This window comes from Homo sapiens, chromosome 12, assembly GCF_000001405.40.
Source record: "Homo sapiens chromosome 12, GRCh38.p14 Primary Assembly".
Taxonomy (NCBI): domain Eukaryota; kingdom Metazoa; phylum Chordata; class Mammalia; order Primates; family Hominidae; genus Homo; species Homo sapiens.
In genome coordinates this window covers 1,961,692-1,981,909 of record NC_000012.12, presented here as the reverse complement: position 1 = coordinate 1,981,909, position 20,218 = coordinate 1,961,692, and the positions used below count along the sequence as shown (strand labels likewise).

Sequence of the window (20,218 nt, the reverse complement as noted above, 5' to 3'; positions counted from 1 at the left end):
AGAACACTCTTACCTGCATGCTTTTAAATATTCTTTTTTCTCCTTAAATTCTCTCCCTCATTCTGACCAATCTCTACCAGATAAATTCTACTCATATTTCAAAACCCAGCTGGAACTTTACCTCCCTGGATGTTTTTGTGAGTCCCCTGTGTAGCTGTGATGTCTCACTGCAGCATATATGTCTTTTATGTTGTACTTATATTTGCTTTGCTCATTTGTTATTGAGCACTTGTCTGTTGAAACTGATTCTGTGTTGGGTTTTGGCAGTAACGAATAAGCTATATCCCTTCCCCCTTACAGTTTACCATCCTAGCACGAAAGACAGACATGTAAACATATATGTTCAAAATAACATGCTAAATCTGAGCTAGAAATAAAGGCAATTACTAGTTGTGCTTATAGTTTACCTTATGTATAATATTTTGTCCTGGCTTCTCTGTTAGAGTGCAGGCACCTTCAGGGCAAAGGTGTCTTTCCAGTCCCCCATAGCACTGAATTCCTTGCATTAAATGTGCACAATTAAATATTTGCAATGAGTACTGAATTGTTTTTATTGGATTTCTTTATTCAAAGCTATGGCTGAAACTTAACCTAAAAGTTCACAACTATTTCTTTAGTTTTTCTTTTGGAGCATTAGCCATTAGGCATTAAGGAGCCTCTGTGGTTCCTGTGTAGAAACCCGAAGCAGTGAGTGATTTTAGCAGCTTACCTAGGAGCCGCTCAGCTTCTCAAGGTTACTTTAATATGTGTAGTGGTAACATTTACCTACAAGTTCCTAGAGGTGATTGTGAGTTGTGAGAATGCCATACATCCTCATCATGGGAAATTTAATAGTTCAAGGAAGAGATATGTAATGTGGGAAAATGTTAGTTTTATCTATGTGAACAAGATGATGTATAATGCATATATATAATATAAATTTTCTTTATAGAACTTTATTTAAATTCTAAAAAGCACTGTTATGGATGTCTCCTTCAACTTGTTTTATGCTTATTGAGATATTGTGATTTGATATTTAAGAAGTTTATTCACTGTGTTAAACTTGATATCTTAATTATGATACATGAAAACAGGCCACATCTCTGTTTCCTCCTGGCCCTGTTAAACCATGGCCGTGTGGTTTAAACAGAAAAGCTTATGCTATCGATGTTTTATCTGCAAATGAAATAAGAACTTTTTTTCATTTTTATAGAAGCAACGAAATAAATAACTCTTTATTAAAAATAGTTAAAGGTAGTATTACCAAACACTGGATTTAAAATGACACTTATAAGCATTTACTATAAAACAAAAAATGATAAATTTTACCTCATCAAAAGTAAAAATTTCATCAAATTAAAAACTTCTGTTCTTAAGATACCTTTGGGATAATGAAAAGAAAAACCACAGACTGGGAAAACATATTGAGAACATGTACATATATCTGACTCAGCACTATATTGAGAATATGTAAATAACACTTAGAAATTAACAACAGAAAGACAAGCCAACTTAAAAATTAGCAAAAGATTTGAAAAGACGCTTTTAAAAAGAAGATATACAAATACCAATAGTCACATGAAAAGATTCTTAACATGATTCCTCAGGTACTTTGAAGTGAATGCATGTAGCCGTAGTTTCTTGCTTTTTATTCTGTGTAGTACTCCACTGCATCATTATATTGCAGTCTATTTATTCTCCTATCGATAGATACTTGAATTATTTCCAAATTTGAGCTATTCTGAATAAAGTTGCCATGAACATTCCTGTCCATGTTTTTTAGGTGGATATGTATGCCTATCTATCTTGGGTTTATACCTAGGAGTGAAATTGATGGGGACATAGTGTATGGGTTTGTTTAGCTTTAGAGATACTGCTGAACAGTTATGTGCCTATTTGTACTCTCTCCAATAATGTCTAAGACTTCCCATTTGCTCCACATCCTTGTCAAAACTTGATATTGTTTGTTTTTTTTAATTTTCTGGGAATTCTGAAGTGATATCTCATTGTGATTTTAATTTGCATTTTACCATAACAACAGACTGTATTGAGCATTTCTTCATATGCTTATTGGACATTGGAAACCTATGCAGATTAAAGCCCAAATAAGAATATCACATACTCCTTAGAATGGCTAAAATTAAAAAGACAAGTGTTAATGAGGATGTGGAGCAATGGAAACTTTGATACATTGCTTGTGAAAGAGTAATATGCTACAACTACTTTGGAGAACTATTTGGCAATTTCTCATAAACTTAAACATATAACTAGCGTATGATCCAACAAGTTCCGTTCGTAGTTATTTACTTAAGAGAAATGGGCTGGGCACGGTGGCTCACGCCTGTAATCCCAACACTATGGGAGGCTGAGGCGGGCGGATCACTTGAGGTCAGGAGTTCGAGACGAGCCTGGCCAACATGGTGAAACCCCCTCTCTACTAAAAATACAAAAATTAGCCAGGCATGGTGGCAGGCCCCTGTGATCCCAGCTACTGGGGAGGCCAAGGCAGGATCACTTGAACCCTGAAGGTGGAGGTTGTAGTGAGCCAAGATGGCACCACTGCACTCCAGCCTGGGCGATGAAGCCAGACTCCGTCTCAAAGACAAACAAACAAAAAATCCAGGCGCTGTGGCTCACGCTTGTAATCCCAACACTTTGGGAGGCCGAAGCAGGCGGATCACCTGAGGTCAGGAGTTTGAGACCAGCCTGGCCAACATGGCGAAACCCCATCTCTACTAAAAATAAAAAAAATTAGCCAGGCTCGATGGCGGGCACGTGTAATCCCAGCCACTTGGGAGCCTGAGGCAGGAGAATTTCTTGAACGCGGGAGGCGGAGGTTGCAGCAGTGAGCCAAGATCGCGCCATTGCACTCCAGCCTGGGTGACAGAGTGAGACTCCGAAAGCACATGTCCACACAAAGACTTTTACACAAATGCTCAAAGCAGTTTTATTCATAATAGCAAAAAACTCTGGTAATAACCTGGATACCCATTAATAGTTACATAGATGAACAAATTTTGGTATATAATAATAGAACACTACTCAGCGATAAGAAGAAATGAACTACTGATATATTCAACAACATGAATTAATTTCAGAAACATGTTGAGCAAAGCAAGCCATCTACAAAAGAGGATATACTGTACGACCCCATTTATATGAAGTTTATATGAAGTTGAAGAACAGGCAAAACTAATCTAGGGTGATAGAAGTAAAAAATTGGTTGTCTCTGCTGGGGCTGGTGGTGGAAGTGGGGTGTGGTTGTTGACTGGAAAAGAGTGATAAAAATATTTTATATCTTGTTTTCAGTGTTGGTTACATAAGAGTGTTTTATTGCCAACTCACTGAGCAGAACACTTTAAGATCTGTGCATTTTCTTGTACATAAATGATTCTTCAATGTAAGAAAGTAGAAATAATTGAACCTTATAAAAGAAGTATTTAAATAAATGAAAATTTAAGGATAATTTTTTACCCTTCTTTATTTTCCTGACATTTATTAACCAGTGTTTCTGCTAACCCTGATCTCTGCTGTGTTGGTTAGAATATTACACTAACTCTTTATTACTTTGCGTCTTGGCTTTTTCAACCTGGAAATAAAGCAGTCCTTGTTCTAAAACACATCTTCAGTACTTTAAACCAACATAATACCAAAAGCTTGATGTCAACTGAAAGCCCCAAGTAATGTGAGGTAATAGAAATAGTTGAGTCTGCATTTCTAGTTTCCAGATCAGTGAGAAGGCTATGCCCCCTTTCTCTGGGTTGCGACATCTGCTTTCTCCCCATGGTCAGAGAAGCAAGATTTCTCTTTGCCAAAAATATGGAAACCGTATAACTTAATATTTTTCCTGAGTGGAAGGAATTAACCTTCCACTTCTCTCTTGAGAGTCAATTTTTTTAAATGTCAATTTCCTAGCAAAGAGGAGCCTTAGCATTATTCTGCAGTGCTTTCTCTAGAATGAAACATATAAAAACAATACAGTTTAAAAATATAATAGTAGATATTTTCTTGGTGGCTATTATAGAACATCTTATGAAGTATAAACTTGATTGTCTTCCAAAGCTCCAAAGTTAAAGTGTACCTGTATATACCCATAGTAAATAATAGCAGTAAGAAAGTCAAATTTAGAGAACAATGATGAGTCATAATTTGGAAACAATATTGCTCACTATACTTAGAATGCATTTTGTAAAACGTTTTCTCTGCCACTATGTTACCATTAATTAATTGGTTGCTAATTATCTAGGCTATTGAGAAGGCAGTGGTATGGATAATAAATTACAGGCCCCTTATGGGCAAAGACCATATCTTATATTTTACTTATATTCTGTGGTGCCAAATAAACACAGGAAATAAACAGATTTAGATAAGAAATAGACATGTACAGTGTACTTAACAAAATTCGCAAATCACTTATATTCTAGAATTGTTATATGTGTATATGTGTATCTGATGATTTTGTGTGGCATCTGGAACATCAGAATGCATAAGACAAAGCTTTGAAGATACGCTGCTTGGAGTGATCAAGCAGGAGTCACAAAGTTGTCGAGCTTTCCAAAATGTCTTCCTGTTTCCCACTTCATGGTAGAGACGGAGAATGACACCTCTCCAACGAAGGCAAACCAGTAGCCACAGCTGAACTGTGTGATTCACCCTCATCATGGCCGAGCATGCTAACAGATCTGTGCTTTTTAAGCTTTCTCCTAGGCTTCAGGCTACATGGAGGAATAAAAGCTCTTCCAACTTAACAAATTCTAAGACTTGGAGACTTTGTTACGTCTTTTCTTAACCTTGCAATCAGTTTAGGCAGTGATTACAAAAGCAATCTGGAAAGTTAAAAGTGAACTCTGTGTAAATTTATTACCAAGTAAATGAAAGACACATTATCTGCCCAGAGATAACTGAGGGTTGTTTTCCATTCTAGGATATTTATTGGCATATTGATAGTCGCAAATAGTAGTTCCTAATCTTCTGTGAGTCACAAACCCCTATGAGAATCTGAAGACTTTTCTTCTTCCCTTTTTTCCTTCATTTCTTCCTTCTTTACTTCCTACTTTCCTTCCTCCCCCTCCCTCCCTCCCTCTCCCCCTTTCCTCAAATATATTTGCTTGACTGCTGTGTGCCAGACATTGTTTTAGAGGGTCTATGCTTTGCACTTTTTCACCTCCCAAAATTTGCATATATACATGACATTTTGCATATAGTTTTAGGGATTTTATTGAACCCCTAAAGCTCTCTAGGGTCAAGAAACTAATATTTAAAGTAACTATATGGCTAAAAATACTTGACATTCTTACTAGGCAAAAACTTAGTATTTGCAGGAATAACAGAATACATTTCTCTTCGGGATCTGCCCAGGAAGACAAGACCTTAAAGTAGACTCATTCACATCATGAGCAGTGAGGAATGGGAGCCGAGGAATTTGACATTTCATATTTAGTCAGAATAGGTAACCTATACAGTCTTGAGGCTCTTTTACTGTATGTGAGAGGAGTGGTTGGTTGAATTAGAAACTTTCAAGGACTCCTTTTAAGCCTGCATTTAATGAGAAAGAAAGAAGAGCCACCAAAATTTAAAAATCATAATGTGGTCACTGAATCTTACTTTGTGTCTCTAAGTCTCCTTTGCCATTCCGACTGAAAAATTGATCTATTTATTATGCACCATTGCTTAGAGAGCTAACATGTTAATATATGATAAAGGGTTATACGTCTACTGTGACTTGAGTGATGAAACTTGTCACTGTGACCTTTAATCCAAAATGACTTTTTTGTTCTCTGTCAGTACTCCACTTAGGCTGAAAGGAAGGGATCTAAACTCTAAAGAAAACTATCCATCTAAAGAAAGGCTCTGAAAAATCTCAAGTAAAGCAGAATTTCACTCTTGAGCCTTGTGGTATCTCTGGATTTCGTATTTCTATTTTTCTGTGTGTTGAGTTGTGACACCAGATAGTTCCTTGAAACACACACATAAGCAGATACACAGTGTGAGTAAACAACCCTTCTCTTCACCCTGACCATCCAATTAACACAGTTTCTACTTCTCCATCATAACTGCCAGGGGACTCACGGAGAGAACCTTCATGTGAATATATACATTTCTTATGTAACTTAACAATCTGACATGCTGAGGTGAGGAAAAACCCATGTGGCAAAGTCATATATGGTGATTTACAGCTGCTACAAAGTAAAGTCACTTGTTTTATCCTAAACCATAAAGACTATTAAGGTTCTCAGCTTGACCAAGAAAACATAGTAATGCTATTCAGATTGATACGCTGCATCTGTGGCTTGGACATGCAGTGTATTTTATGTTTTGTGTTTAAGAGAGCCCAGTTTAGCATGGTGGAAGTCTAAATTCTTGGCAGAGAAAAGCTGGGTTCCAAAACATTTTCTTAAATGCTTAATAAGGAAAGCATCTTTTAGTTTCCCTACCCTTTATCTATAGTAAGTGGTCATTATGGCTATATAATGTGTATTCTTTTAGATTCTGTGTTTTATATTACTAATTTTTGTCCAAAAATCATTTAGTAAATAGTTTCAAATAATCAAGTTCTGGAATCAAAGTAAATTTACTGCTTAACCCACAGAAGGAAAAATTATGGGTTTTGAAGAAGGAAAACAATTTTGGCCAAGAACTTGTATTAGAATTACCTTATGTATAGCCTTAGAGCTCTTATTTCATAGTAGAACCAAAACACAATTTAACTGTTTAAACATAAAGGGTTTTTGGAAAGAGTCTTTTGGAAAGTAGTATCTCCTATGTCTATATTCACAGATTAAGGTAAAAATGAAAAAATAAAGAAACTCTGACTTTTCTTTAATCAGGAAGTAGCACTAGGCTCCTTTGGCTAGACTACTGCTATGTCAAATTGTAGAAATATTTCTGTGATCATGTGTTTTATAGTTAGGCTATTTTCAGCAGAGCTATTCCTATCATTGTTAAACACTCAATTAAATCATCTGGCTCAAATATGAAGAAGTCTGTTCTTCATTGGAACAAATTTTTGACCTGTAGAAATATTCTGTTTTAAAAATAAGCTTAAGCATAAATAGACATGTTTAAACATAGCTTTCTCAAAAACTGCGATTATAGGAGACTGGACTTATTTATGTACATTGAGATTCACTTATGGTGATAGTTGTCAGTGTGTTGCTGGAATGACTGACATGCATCTAAATCTTACATTTTTCAGGTCATTCAGGTGCTTATATATGTAAGCTTGGGATTGCCATTATCAAACGCGACTAGAATATGAATAGCTTGGATTTTCTGGTAGACCAAAGTACTATTAGTTATTATTTGTCCTTTGTTTTTCCATAATGAAGAGAAATGCATGTGATTTTGCAGAATTGTTGCATCCTTTGAGCTCTTAGTTGCCAGTGCCTAACAAGTAGTCAATCAGGAAGAATGGTATATGGTAGAGTTGTAATAGTAAATACACATTAAACGAGTACATTAGTGTCTACATAGTGCTGGATCAATCGAAATATACAGTCTTCGGGAGCTCATATCCTAATGACAGAATCCCATCAACACTACTTAAGCATAAGAAGGTAAAGTGTTTGAAGCAAAATAAACTCTCAGTGAAGGTTGAAGGAGAACAAAAGCGGTGATATGAGGAGACTGTCCATGCTGAAATTTCTGGTAGAAGGTGTAATCAATTGATAGAGAATTCTAGCATATCTAGTCCACATGTTGAATTATTCCAGGAAGTGATAATTATTGATATTAGCAATTACAAGGGTTATTGATGGTAGAAGAGCTTGAAGTCTTAGATTTCATTTCAACTCAGCAAGTATTTGTTGAATGTCTGCACATGCTGTTTGCTGTACTGGGTGTTTTAACAAAGTCCTCCCCTCCAGGAGCTTATAGTCTAGTGGAGGGAACAGATTTATAAATGCTTAATTTATTACCTTTTTTACTACAAGGATATACAAAACTACAGGAGCAAAGAAAAAGTTGGGACTGTTTATTCCTAGAGGAGTGAGAAAGCCTGGGTCTTCAAGGACGAGTAGAGAGAAGGAAAAGATGTATTAGGGACTCCCTGCATGATATTTGTGGCCAAGGAGATTTTGAAATTTTTCAGCAAGATTATGAACAAATGAAAATATAAATTTAAGTGGCCAACAAAGCAGAATAAGTTGTTTCTATTTATATTTGTTGTAAACTATGGACTTTTCTGCTTCCTAATTTTTAAAAGTTTATTTACTCTGTTATATCTCTTAGATTAAAGGAACAAATAAAACTAGGAAATTAGTATACGATGAAAAAGATTCCATATGACCTTTGGTAAACCTGAGGGTAGTAGATGACCTCAAGGTTCCCAGTTTAGGAAGATGATGATCTCTGGGAAGATTAGGAAGATTGAATGATATAACATGAATCCATTATAAATTAAAACTTTCTAAAAGATTAAATCTGTCTTTTACTGGGAAAGTAATAAATTCTCATTTATAGTTGGAGAGTACATATTAATTTAATCCAAATTAGTATAATGCTTTAATTCAGAGAGTTTTGTTTGTTTTTAATGGCATTAACTTTCTAATAACATTAATTTATTTAGAAAGGGGAGGTTTGTTTCTACTGTTTCCCCCAAAATGTTCATGAGTATTAGTCACCCATAAAATAGAAACTGCTTCTCATCTGCTTTGAACCTTCCATTATTCTCAGGTCATGGGATCGCTGATTTGTGAGGTGCAGTAAAACCATGTCATATGAAAAGAAGCAGACCAGGGGCCAAAGATAACAGTGCTATGTAGACTCTCAGTGGCCAGTGAAGATTTTGTTTTACAAGATTGTGTCCGTGTTTGGTCAGTAAAGCTAACGCAGAAGGTGAATGGAAGAACATTACTTTAAAGGCATTAGAGAACATGCCGGAGGAAAGCATTTTGAGTGCAAACATTCCAAATGGGGAAGAAGTACAGAATCCGCACAGAGCCGGCCAAACGCAGCCTGTGTTTCCCATCTATGGATGCCAGCACACAGGCAGCGTCATTGCTGCTCGAGTGTTTACTGCTGTGAAAACACTGCCACTACCAGAAAGCTTAATTCCCTTCCTCTTTCTTTTCTCTCTTTTTCTCCCTCTCCCTCCCTCCCTTCCTCACTGATCTCCCCCCTCCCTTCATTCCATCCTTCTTTTTTTCCTTTTGAGAGTCCATATGAACTTTGGTTTAAAAAGACTAATTCCAGTCTTTTATAACCAAGCCTAGAACTCAATCCAATATGTAAAAACAAATTTGAATGCTTCATGTATTTCATTTGAAAGGCTGGGAGAAGGGCATGTTTTAGGGGAAACAGATTAAACCAAGAAAAATGACTTTGGCTAGCTTATTTAACCTTGTTAGACCACAGATTCCTCATTGGTGAAATAGGTTCTTGAACTGCATGCTTCTTACCTGACTTCTGGCTCTAAAATTTCATGGTTCTATTTTTCTGTTTTTTTTAAATATCTTGGGATCTTTCAAATGCCTAGTAGCTGTGTGTGCATGTGTACTACCATATGCTAGTAACGAGTCATCATCAATGTGGTCAGATTTATTAAAGCTTGATCTAGATAAATGCTATAGTAAATCAAGAAACATTATATTTGAATGAAGTCTCAGAAACAAGTGTTTACACAAATATATGATTAGATATTCTCCATCCTTACATTGAAAATATTATTCTACTCTTGTGAGGAAGACTTCATGAAAGGAGTGGAGTTTGAAGGAATTTTAAATTTTGGTTTATCCTTAGATGCCCAGAAGAGGTTTGTGTAATGTCACACTACCACGTTTCCGTGGCTTTCCAAGTAAAAAGAGGGAACTTAAATGCCTTCCTTGCTGAATGCTAAGAAAAACATATTTCCCTGTCTTTTTGAGAGGAATTAGTGAAGTTATATTAGAAAGAACATTACCAAATCAGATGTCCTGCCTATTTAAATTTTACCCATGTAATTATGTGTTTATCATCCACTTCCTAATTGAATGGATATATATCTTCTTTTAAAAATTTACACAAACATTATCACATGTCCTCATTAGACGATTACAAGCTATCATTCATGATTTGGAGTTGTATGGTATTTGGGTAAAAATATAAAACAAATTATAAATATCTTAAAAGAACAGATCAAACAGAAATATTTATTAGGAACATAAATGAGATAAGGCAAATCCCCAAAGAACATGCAAAATGAACTAATGCACCATGCTAATAAGAATCAAAGGGTTACAAATGAAAATGTACATTTGAATGACGCTGACATGACACTGCCTTTAATGGCCCCTTAACTAGCCTCTTAAAATTTGACCAGCTTTTGGTTTTTCCACTGAAGAAATTTAAAAAGAAAATACCACTACTGAATATAATCAGCTTGCTCTCTGCCTTGTCTTTGTGGACCTAAAAAATCCAGACATGAAGTCTATATGGAAATTTTGATCTCCTTGATCTTACTGACGGAGTTAAAAGGAAAGTAAAAGATTGGTGTTTCATTATGTAAAGGCAGTATTGCATTGCCTGTTGCCTCAAACATCACTTTTTTTCAATTGAGAATTTCCAAAGAACGGCATAAACCAGGATAGTGCAGTTACAGGCAAAATTTTACAACGGTGTGTGGTAAATCCTGATTAAATATGGAGAGATGAGTTCTTAGAGTGAGGAAGTCACATTCTAGGTATCATTAGGATATTTAGAGTAAATTTCAACATGTTCTTCCTACTCTTTATTTCACTTTAGGGTTTCTTACCTCCAGGAGAGATGTAGAAATAGTTGAGTTGAGCTTCATGCACCAAAGTACCCTTAAACTTGACCTCCGTGTTGGCAGACAGGTGGCTGGGAAGCGGCTGGTATGCAGGCGTACCAGGCTGAACAAAGGCTCGAAGCATTGTGAATTTCCAGATGTATATTAATTGGTTGATTTTTAAAGCTAAATAATTATCCTGCTCATGATCTCTTATAATTTTTTAAAACCCAGAAGCTATTCCTGCAGTAACATTTCAGTGCCACAAAAGTTGACATGGCCGTATCGTATCGCTGCAAGTTTAAGTTACAGTAAAATTCCTTTTAAGTTTTAGAATTCTAAAAAACAAAACAAAACACCTTCTTACTTGATTCTTTTCAACCTTGTATTTTCGTCTTCCCTGCTCTGCTCCCTGCCTATGTAGGGATGGGCCTCTCAGCCAGTGGCTTTACGGGAAAACTTGGATTGAAATGTGAACTTCATGGTTTCTGTCAGCCTGTCAGCTCATCACCTCCCTAAGGCATGGTGATCTCTGGTTTTTATATATCTCCACAGACTGCTTTGATAGACCCTCTTGTGTGGAAGAGTGATAGGTTTGTCCAGGGGTTGGTAGACCTTAGGGCTAAGAGGCAGGAAACTTGGAATGCATACTTCCATGGAATTCACAGCCTCTTTCCCAGGGGAATGCACTCAAGTTGCAAAACTATTTTAGGGAGAAGAAAGTTAGGCCCAGTTCTGCATTTTATCTTGGTGCCTCTTTTCGGTAGCCAGAACTCTTGGTTAATGGTTTTTTTTTCCCCTTTGGCTATTTAAATTTTCTGTCCAGACTAAACTGGGATCAAAAGAGTTATCTCAAAATGATCTCATTTTAATTTTTAAAGCCATGTTGCTTTGGAGATAAATGGTTGGGTCCTAAAGAAGTCTTCACGATGTCTTAAATAATTACTGCAAACTCAATCTTTCCTTCATTTTGCTTTGACATTTGAAAGATGTTCCGTAGCATTTTCGCTCCCTAAATCTGCATTTCAGTTATCTCATGGTGATGACACTGTCAAACTGCTTTTCTATTTGTATCAACAGTTTTCTTGGCATCCCACCCTTACGAAAGCCTAATTCCTTATGTCAAATGCCGCAAATGTATAACATCAAACGAAAGATACCCAGAATATTCTTATTAATAGAGCCTATTCATGAGACAACAACGGCCATTTTTTCCTCTGCCATTGGGCCTCGTGTTTCTGAGTTATGCTCTGTTTTTCTCCCTTACTGCCATCTTTCTCCTTTGATAGTTTTGGAAAAGTCAGTCTTCAAGGAAAGAAAACTTACACTATAACCAAAAAAATAGGCCAGGCTCCTAGTTTTGTAACTAAGGTTAAAGTCACCAAGACACGCAAACATACTCAGATTTATTAAGTGGTTGAACGTCAGTGATCCAATCTGCTTTGACTTCAAGAACGTGAGGGTATGCAGGTTAGTGTAGGAATCTGTGTAGGGAATTAGAGTAGGGAATTATTGTTGATGGACTGGAAGCAACCTTGAATATGAAGTTTCAAGATACACATTCAATGATCTTGAGATGAAAGAATTTTGTTTTGATGTAAAAGCTCTCATAGCACATGGGCTTCAGAACTCAGACGTTCTTAAAAAAAAAAAAAAAAAAAAGTCAGTGTACCAAGGAGGAAAATGTGTATGTATTTCCATCTAAGAGAGTAAAATGGTCCTGTTCAAGGAAAAGCTGGGATTTTTTCCCCTACTTCCCCCCCACTTCACGTGCAGGTAGGTAAGATAAAAGATTTCTGGTACACTGATAATTGCAAAACCAAAGTTTAAAGCCCTATTGCCACCTTTTGGCAAGTGAGTAATTCAGATTCATAGGTTCCTCTTTAAGATACCTGCTTAAAATAGCACTATAAAGACATTTCTTGTACCTTTTGATATATGAATCATTACTGACAAGAAGCAGAAATTCCATGCCCAGACATTGGTCAGGTAAGAGGGGAAAAAAGATGTAGTTAGAATATCATAGCTGTTTTAACAGCAAAATACTATTAATATAATTACGTGTTTAGAAAGTTTGAATTTAAAGTCTTTTTTCCCTTGTAAAAACATGTTTTGTTGGTTTTCATTGCCCTATCGTAATATTGCTGCTGTTTTCAGTGAAGATGTTTTAAATGTGTGTGTAGTTAATGCATTACTTAGATGATTAATGCCATCAGATCCTCAACTAGATATTTATAAATGTCTTCTGGAGCTGCTTCAGCCTTTGCTATAAAAATGATATAGATAGGCACATACTAAAGTATACAACTTATTTGAACATTATTGAATGAATCAATAGCAGGTATATTATGTCACAGTTTCTTTCATTACTAAATGAGGAAATCATAGTCATATCTAATCTTTCAGCAGTTATACATTTTCTGTACCATTTTGAAGCCAGAAGTTTATTATTAAATTTTATTTTTTCCAGTGGCCTCTCCCTAACTTACAGCTTACAAAGCCACTTTCTCAGTTAACATGTTCCTGAGAGAAGGAGAAGGGGAGGGAGGCTTCTAGGCATAATTTGAGTATCAGGTTTCTGAATATTTAAAAATAAACATGAAATGTGTTTATGAAATGTGCAAATGGAGTGTAGAAACAATGCTATCTCGCAGCCAGGAAGTATAGAAATTGTGATTTCATTTTCCGTCTGTATTCATTTGCTTCAGAGGATTTTGCCGAGTGCCTGTTGTGTTCAGGTGCCATGTTTTCACGCGGAGCACAGTTTCTTCAATGTGTGTGGGTGCGCGTCTTTGCACAAAACCACCACGGATTTCTCTGTGGACTTAAATTTTGATGCTTTTTTTTTTTTTTTTGAGACAGAGTTTCCCTCTTTTCATCCAGGCTGGCGTCCAATGGCGCGATCCTGGCTCACAGCAACCTCCACCTCCCAGGTTCAAGCGATTCTCCTGCCTCTGCATCCCGAGTAGCTGGGATTATGGACGCCCGCCACCAGGCCTGGCTAATTTTTTTTGTATTTTTAGTAGAGATGGGGTTTCACCATGTTGGCCAGGCTGGTCTTGAACACTTGACCTCAAGTGATCCCAAAGTACTGGGATTACAAGTGTGAGCCACTGTGCCTGGCTTGATGCTGTATTTTTAAGCTTTAACCCCAATGATTGCTTTTATTTATTCAATAATTATTGAATAAATCAATTTAACACATAGATTATTATGTATTTAAGATGGAAAGGAGATTTTTTTCTATTTTGTAGTTTTGAAGATGCTCATAATTTGTTTGATGTGTGTTTTTTGCAGTGTCCATCTATGGAATTTGGTTTTATGATAAGGAAGAATGCCAAAGAATTGCAGAGCTTATGAAAAAGTAAGTACTAAAAGGCTAAATATTTTTCAGGACCTGGTGCTTTTGTTTGTATTTCTAAGTGTGTGTAACTATACTACAGTCTTAACAGAATATATCTCCCATAGCAGTCCTTTTCACTGGTTAGGCAGACATTTAGTATTAATTAATAAATGAAAATTAGACGTAAGAACAACTTGCCGCAGTTTCACTGCATAATATTTATCATCTAGAATGATTCATTTTTTCCTGTGTGTGAAATATATATGAATTGTTCCAGATGGCAGTTTTCTTTAATATTTTCATATGTAAATTAGCAATTTTTTGCTTTGAAAAGTTATCAATATGCCTGTTGGTAAAAAGAACATTCAGAGCCATCCTAAAAGTCTGCTCCCGATTCTGTAAAATCTTTCATTTCCTTCATCCCCCAGATGCTTTCCTTTAACTGTGTATACATGTTTGTGGGAGCTCAGAATTTCCTCCCATGTCTCAGACACTGAGTTAAGGTAGTCTTTATTTTCTGTCTCCTTAGAAATTGCTGAGTTACTATTAGCTTAGTGATCAGTCGACTGTCTCTCTCTTCCTTGTTACTGGTCTCTTTCTTTTAATCTTATGATACCTTGTGATTTGTCCCATTCTGCATTTTGGGCAACTTTAAAATTGCTGTCTGACTTTCCCACTCTTGGCTTCCCTGATTGCGTTGAAAGAGGAGGGCTTGTTCTCTGCTCTGCAGTTGGTTGACTGATCAATTTTTGAGCCCAGGGCTGCTCACTGTGAGGCAGTTATTTCCCTGCCATTTATGGGGATGGGAAGAGTCTCAGAGTGAGATGAGTTTCCTGCACGTGCTGTGTCACAGCCTGGGACTGGACTCAGCCAAGCACATAGGATGGCTGCTGCCACATGGGTATGACACTGTAGCTCTGTGTGCAAAAGAATCAGTCCCCACTTTTAAATCCTGGGGCAATGAAATGACTAGAAAGTGACCTCACGGAAATGAAAAACAGGGAGCACCTTTTAAGAGATGAGATAGATTCCTGAAAGTCTAGCTAGAGGTAGCTAATTTTAGGTAACTAGCTCAAGGTGCAGATGGTGATTAAGTGTATTCAAACTGGTATTTACCACCATAACAACTAGTTCCTAGAACATTCATGTTACTGTAAATTGTGCAGTGGATAATAATAACAGGATTTCATACAGATTAAAAAATACCCTGTAGCTCAGCCAAGAGGCCATGTTATAATTGTCAGCATTCTGCAGTAATTACCTAACAGCTCGGGCAGGAAATTGATTATTTACTAGCAATAAGCAGCTGATTGTGTGGATTCCGACCCCCTCCCCAGTTAGAATTAAGTCTCTCAGTAAGTACTCAGATCTTTGTTACCGTAAACTTCATGGCAATAATAAGAATGTGAGCTGAAAGTTACAGCACATAAAGGGAAAGTATATTTTCCTCGACATCACCTAGCAGCATATAGGAGCAATCTGGTCTATCTTTGTATTGTTTTCCAGGCAACAGAAGAACTCCTCGTTGCTCTAAGTGGTTTTTTAAATGGCCCCTCTTCTCCGAGTTAGAATGGAATCTTTACCATGTTTTGAAACTGCCAGAGAGCTGCAGGATTTGAGTTGCCAGAATCAACCTTGCCTTGACTTCAAGGCAGTCTGTAAAGTAGGGGGTTCTTTCCTCAGTATTTCAGAACTCTAAATTGGGTTTCCTTAGCAACTAATGAGAGCATCCTTTAGAATGCACTGTGTGAGGAGTTGGCAAACTCTTCTCAAAGGGACCAGAGAGTGAGTATTTTAGGCTTTGCAGTCCATAGGATTTGTGTTCCGACTATAGAATTCTGCCCTTGTAATGTGAAAGCAGCCATAAACAACATGTAAACAAAGGAGCATGGCTGTGTTGAGCTTGGCTGTGTTTGTGACTTTCTTTACAAAAAACAGGTGGTGGGCTGGACTTGGCCCACAGATTTGCTGACCCCTATCCTAGATTCATTTGTGTAGTCAGTGAATTCAGGACCTCAACTCTCATTTTTCTCCTTTAAATTCCTAAGCAAGCTTATTTCTAATATGGTTGTAACAGGATGAAAACAACTAGGTGAGAATTGGGATGGTTTTAAACATTGTTTGTGTTGAATTGGCTTTTCTTGTGTGGATTTTCCCCTCTGTTTTTCTAGCCTAACTCAGTATGAACAGTTGAAAGCCCATCAGGGAACTGGAGCAGGAATTTCCCCAGTGATCCTCAATTCAGGAGAGGGCAAAGAAGTAGACATTTTACGAATGCTCATCAAGGCCAAAGACGAATACACAAAGGTGAGTGTTTGCCCTTCCTTGTGATACATACACACTTCAGTTCCGCAGTGGGAATATTCTTGTTTAGCAAGACTAGGTACTGTGGATGCTGTTCCTTCCACCAAACAAAATTATATTACAAATAAAAAATCTTTATTTGTAATATAGATTTTTTATAAGCTGAAGAAAACTGTTTGCCTTTAAGTGGGTTAAAAAATAGCCTGAGAAATCAGTAGCCTTCATATATACAATAGCCTTCATGTATACAATAACCTTCATATACACAACTGGTAGTAAGTCTTGTTAGACTTACTGCAAGACCCCAACTTACAGTAGCAACAAATGAATATAAAATTGTTTGCAATAAAATTCACGAGAAATGGGCAAAACCTATATAAAGAAAATGTTTAAAAACTCCTGAAAGGCATAAAAATAGACTCAAACAAATGGAAATATACACCCTGTTGTTGGATAAGAAGATTCAACATAAAGCTCTTAGAAAAAAAATCTCTACATTTAAGGTGACCACTAAATAAATACCACTGGTTTCTTTTCCCCTCCCCTCCCCACTTCTCCCTTACTCTCTGATCTAGACAAGTTGAGTGTAAGGCTCATGGAAAGAAATATGCAAGAAAGAATAGCTGGGAAAATCCTGGCAAAGAAGTGTGATATTAGTAGGGGTTGGAGGTGGGGGAGATGAGTGGGGGGATGGAGCGAGCTCTCCCTGATTTTAAAACATTGAAGTCAACATTTCAAACAGTATGGTGTTGATGGTATTGATACCTAACAGCCCAATAGACCAATGGGACAGATTTAAGATTCTAAGTCTAGGATTAAATCCAATTGTATATGAAATCTAGGATATGATAAAGATGATAATCTCAAGTCAGCTATTTGAGTGAATTCCTAAATAAATGGTGTTGGGGCAACTGGTAGCCATTTGGAAAAATACAAAACTGAGTCTGTACCTTACAGCATACACCAGGATAAATTCCAAATGTATTAGAAATTTAAATGTAAAAATATAATGATTCAAGTACCAGAAGAAAATTTGTATGGATTTCTTTATAATCTAGGAAAAGAGAAATCTTTCAATTATGCCTAAAAACCCAAAAGCAATTAATTAAACTACATAAAAATAAAAAACATTTTACAAGGTTTAAATACAACACAAGCAAATAGAAAGATACAAAAACAACTCAGAAAAAAATTGTTGACACCAGAATGACAGGAAGGTTATTTTATGAAGAGCTCCTAAAAATTAAGAAGTACAAGATTAACACTAGAAAAATGGGCAAAAAATAAAAATTTTTAAAAATTATAGAATTTGGAAACTAGCTGAAATAAATGTATGTAATTGAATATCATATTGTCACATAATTACTTAGAAAAAAAATTAGAGTGACTTCAAAGCCCGCTGCTTGAACTGAACACTCTTAGTGGGTTATATTTTAAGGACAAAAAGAACTGCAAGACATTATAAACTTCATTCATTGGTTTTATTGTTTGTAGTAATGTTGGCATTTTAATTTTTCTACTGTTGGCATTGTAATTTTTCTACTGTTGTGGATATAATAAATATGAAATTAGATAAACGTGGTTGGAACCAAAACCTTAGTGTAAGGGGAAAAAAATCAAATCTAATAAGTTAAAACTACATAAGATTAAGTGGAAATATCAGAATTAGTTCATGTTTTGTTTCTTAGGTATAAAAACAAAAAATAGAGTTTCTCACTCTTGCCCTGAAAGGACATAAAAATAAAAGTGACTAACTCAGTAGCAGTAAGCATCTATATCACCCAGATTGTTGTTTCGAAATATTACTTCCTTCCAGAAGGTGTCAGGGCTCTTCAAAGAAATTTCTGATTCCAGGTCTGGAATAGTAAAACCAATAGGGTCATGTGAAAGGACACAGAAATCAGCTTCAAGGACACTGACCAGAGCACCACATTCTAACATCAACAGGAGTGACTACAATGGATTAAACCACATTGAATGTATAAAAATCTATGAGTTCCTGGTAATGAGAAAGAGAACAAGCAAACCAAACATATAAAACCAAGCAAAATAATTATTAGTTATCCGTTTGAAGGTGCTAAGGCACCAACTCCTTCCTCTGAAAATTGATAATTAATGGGAATGAAATAAGCTTTTATCCTGCCTGCCCTAAAGGGACTATATCTCAGAGTAATCAAACAGCCCTGGTCAATGAGGGAGAGCTGTTCTCTACCAGAGAATTCCAGCTAGTACGTGTGGAGAGAATAATAGAACTTAAAGACACTCTGCTTAAAATAATTGACTCAGGCAGTGATCATCAGTAATATTAATGTTATGGGAAAGGTTGATAGAAACTTGACAGTGGAAGGATCAGGCTGCCTCCTCCTGAACCCCGCTGATTATCATCATTAAAAGTTAGATAACCAGATTCTCTGGCTTCCTAATGTGATAAGATGTCAAATGTACAGCACCATCTTGAAATATTCTTGCCCAAAGAGTTGATCCTGAATCTCATTAAGCCTTGAGCTCTAACTTTTTAGTTTACAGAAAGTGAAAGTGGGTGGGGAGTGAGGGGAGACAAGGTAGAAAAACAAATTAAATGATGCTATGAGGAAGCAATCAGAAAAATCCTGAATGAAGTGGCACATATAGGCAGTTAGACAAGTTTCTTTAACATGCTTTGCCTTGACTGTGAGCTTCTTGAGTACGAAGAACATCCTTTATTCACTTTTATATCCCTTATTGTCTTCAAAGTACTTAGCACATGGTGAGTGTTAAATAATGGCTATTGAGTGAAGGAAGGAATATGAATGTGAATGAGCCACAGTTTAATTATCCTTCTATTGTATGGCCTGGACAGAGATGCCTTAATCTCAGCTTCAGACAGTAACTATTCTGTATTCATTTTGTGTTTTTTTAATTCTTCAAAAGTCATTAAAAAAAATTATGATGACTTGGCAACTAGTTGAATAATTAGTTATACTTTATTAATTATACTATATTATGCACACTAAAGATTAATCTTCAAAAGGTGACATTTCTGCCCTCCAGGAACTTAATGTTCTGTGAAGACAGTGTAACAATGGTAAATAAATACAAATATTGAAAAAAATTATTTTCCTTTCTTTCCCTCCCTCCTCTCAACACACACATACCTTGTATTGTTTCTGTTTTTTATCTTCTATATGTTATAATGTTTTGACATCTTAAAATCCTTTCTGGCTGGGGAGACTGCCCCTCCTGTGACCAGCCAGTGTTCAGAGATAGCAAAGGGCTTGGCCAGGAGCACGCCTTTAATATGCACACTAACCAATCCTGAGCCATACGTATCTCCTCGTCTCTGGCCTGTACAATATTCCTCTGCCTTAATCATCCCAGGGCCAGGTACCCAGCAACTGGGGACCACTCATACAGTTTAGAGCCTGCTGGAGTTATTCAAACTGGCCAATCTTAACCTGTTTACCATGCCCTGCCTTGCCTTCCTTGAGGAAATTCAGTAAATGCTCTAGCCTACGCCTTCCCCTTGCTGCTGACACCCTGAGGCTTCCACACGTGGCCCTGTGCAGCGTGGCATGCCTCTTGTCTCCAGGACCTGTGAGTATAATAAACTTTGTTTTCCTGAGACTCTCCTGTGTCTCCTCTCTGGCCTCACTTGAGTGACCATCACATAAAAGAACAGCACAAGCACACACATTCTCTGTCTCTCTCAGAAACACTCATATACGGTTCTGGAGATTTAATTTAGGCCATCACTTTATACTGTGCCTATGTCTTGGAATATTTTTCCCCTTACTTTATTTACCCTTCAGAATTTACATATCCTTTAAGGCTTAGTAAAAATGACACTTTTTACGTGGAGTTTTCCCAGGTCTCTTCAGTCAAATTAATTA

General features: G+C 36.6%; 2 protein-coding genes across 33 annotated transcripts in view; one reads left to right on the top strand and one right to left on the bottom strand.

Annotated features, from left to right (window-relative positions):
* CACNA1C (calcium voltage-gated channel subunit alpha1 C) overlaps positions 1 to 11,130 on the bottom strand; it is a 727,171-nt gene extending 716,041 nt beyond the window's left edge. For all 31 annotated transcript variants that reach the window (XM_017019926.3, XM_017019934.3, XM_017019946.3 and 28 more), the window contains exon 1: positions 10,709 to 11,130. In XM_017019926.3, the coding sequence (XP_016875415.1) occupies positions 10,709 to 10,847 (139 nt within the window). In that variant the 5' untranslated portion in view covers positions 10,848 to 11,130. The remainder of the gene's footprint in view (positions 1 to 10,708) is intronic.
* The window catches only part of DCP1B (decapping mRNA 1B), a 62,867-nt gene that overhangs the window by 22,548 nt on the left and 20,101 nt on the right, over positions 1 to 20,218 (top strand). For both annotated transcript variants that reach the window (NR_135060.2, NM_152640.5), the window contains 2 exons: positions 14,000 to 14,066; positions 16,217 to 16,352. Coding sequence is in view for 1 of the 2 variants with exons in the window: in NM_152640.5 (NP_689853.3) it covers positions 14,000 to 14,066; positions 16,217 to 16,352 (203 nt within the window). In the remaining variant the exon portion in view is untranslated. The remainder of the gene's footprint in view (positions 1 to 13,999; positions 14,067 to 16,216; positions 16,353 to 20,218) is intronic.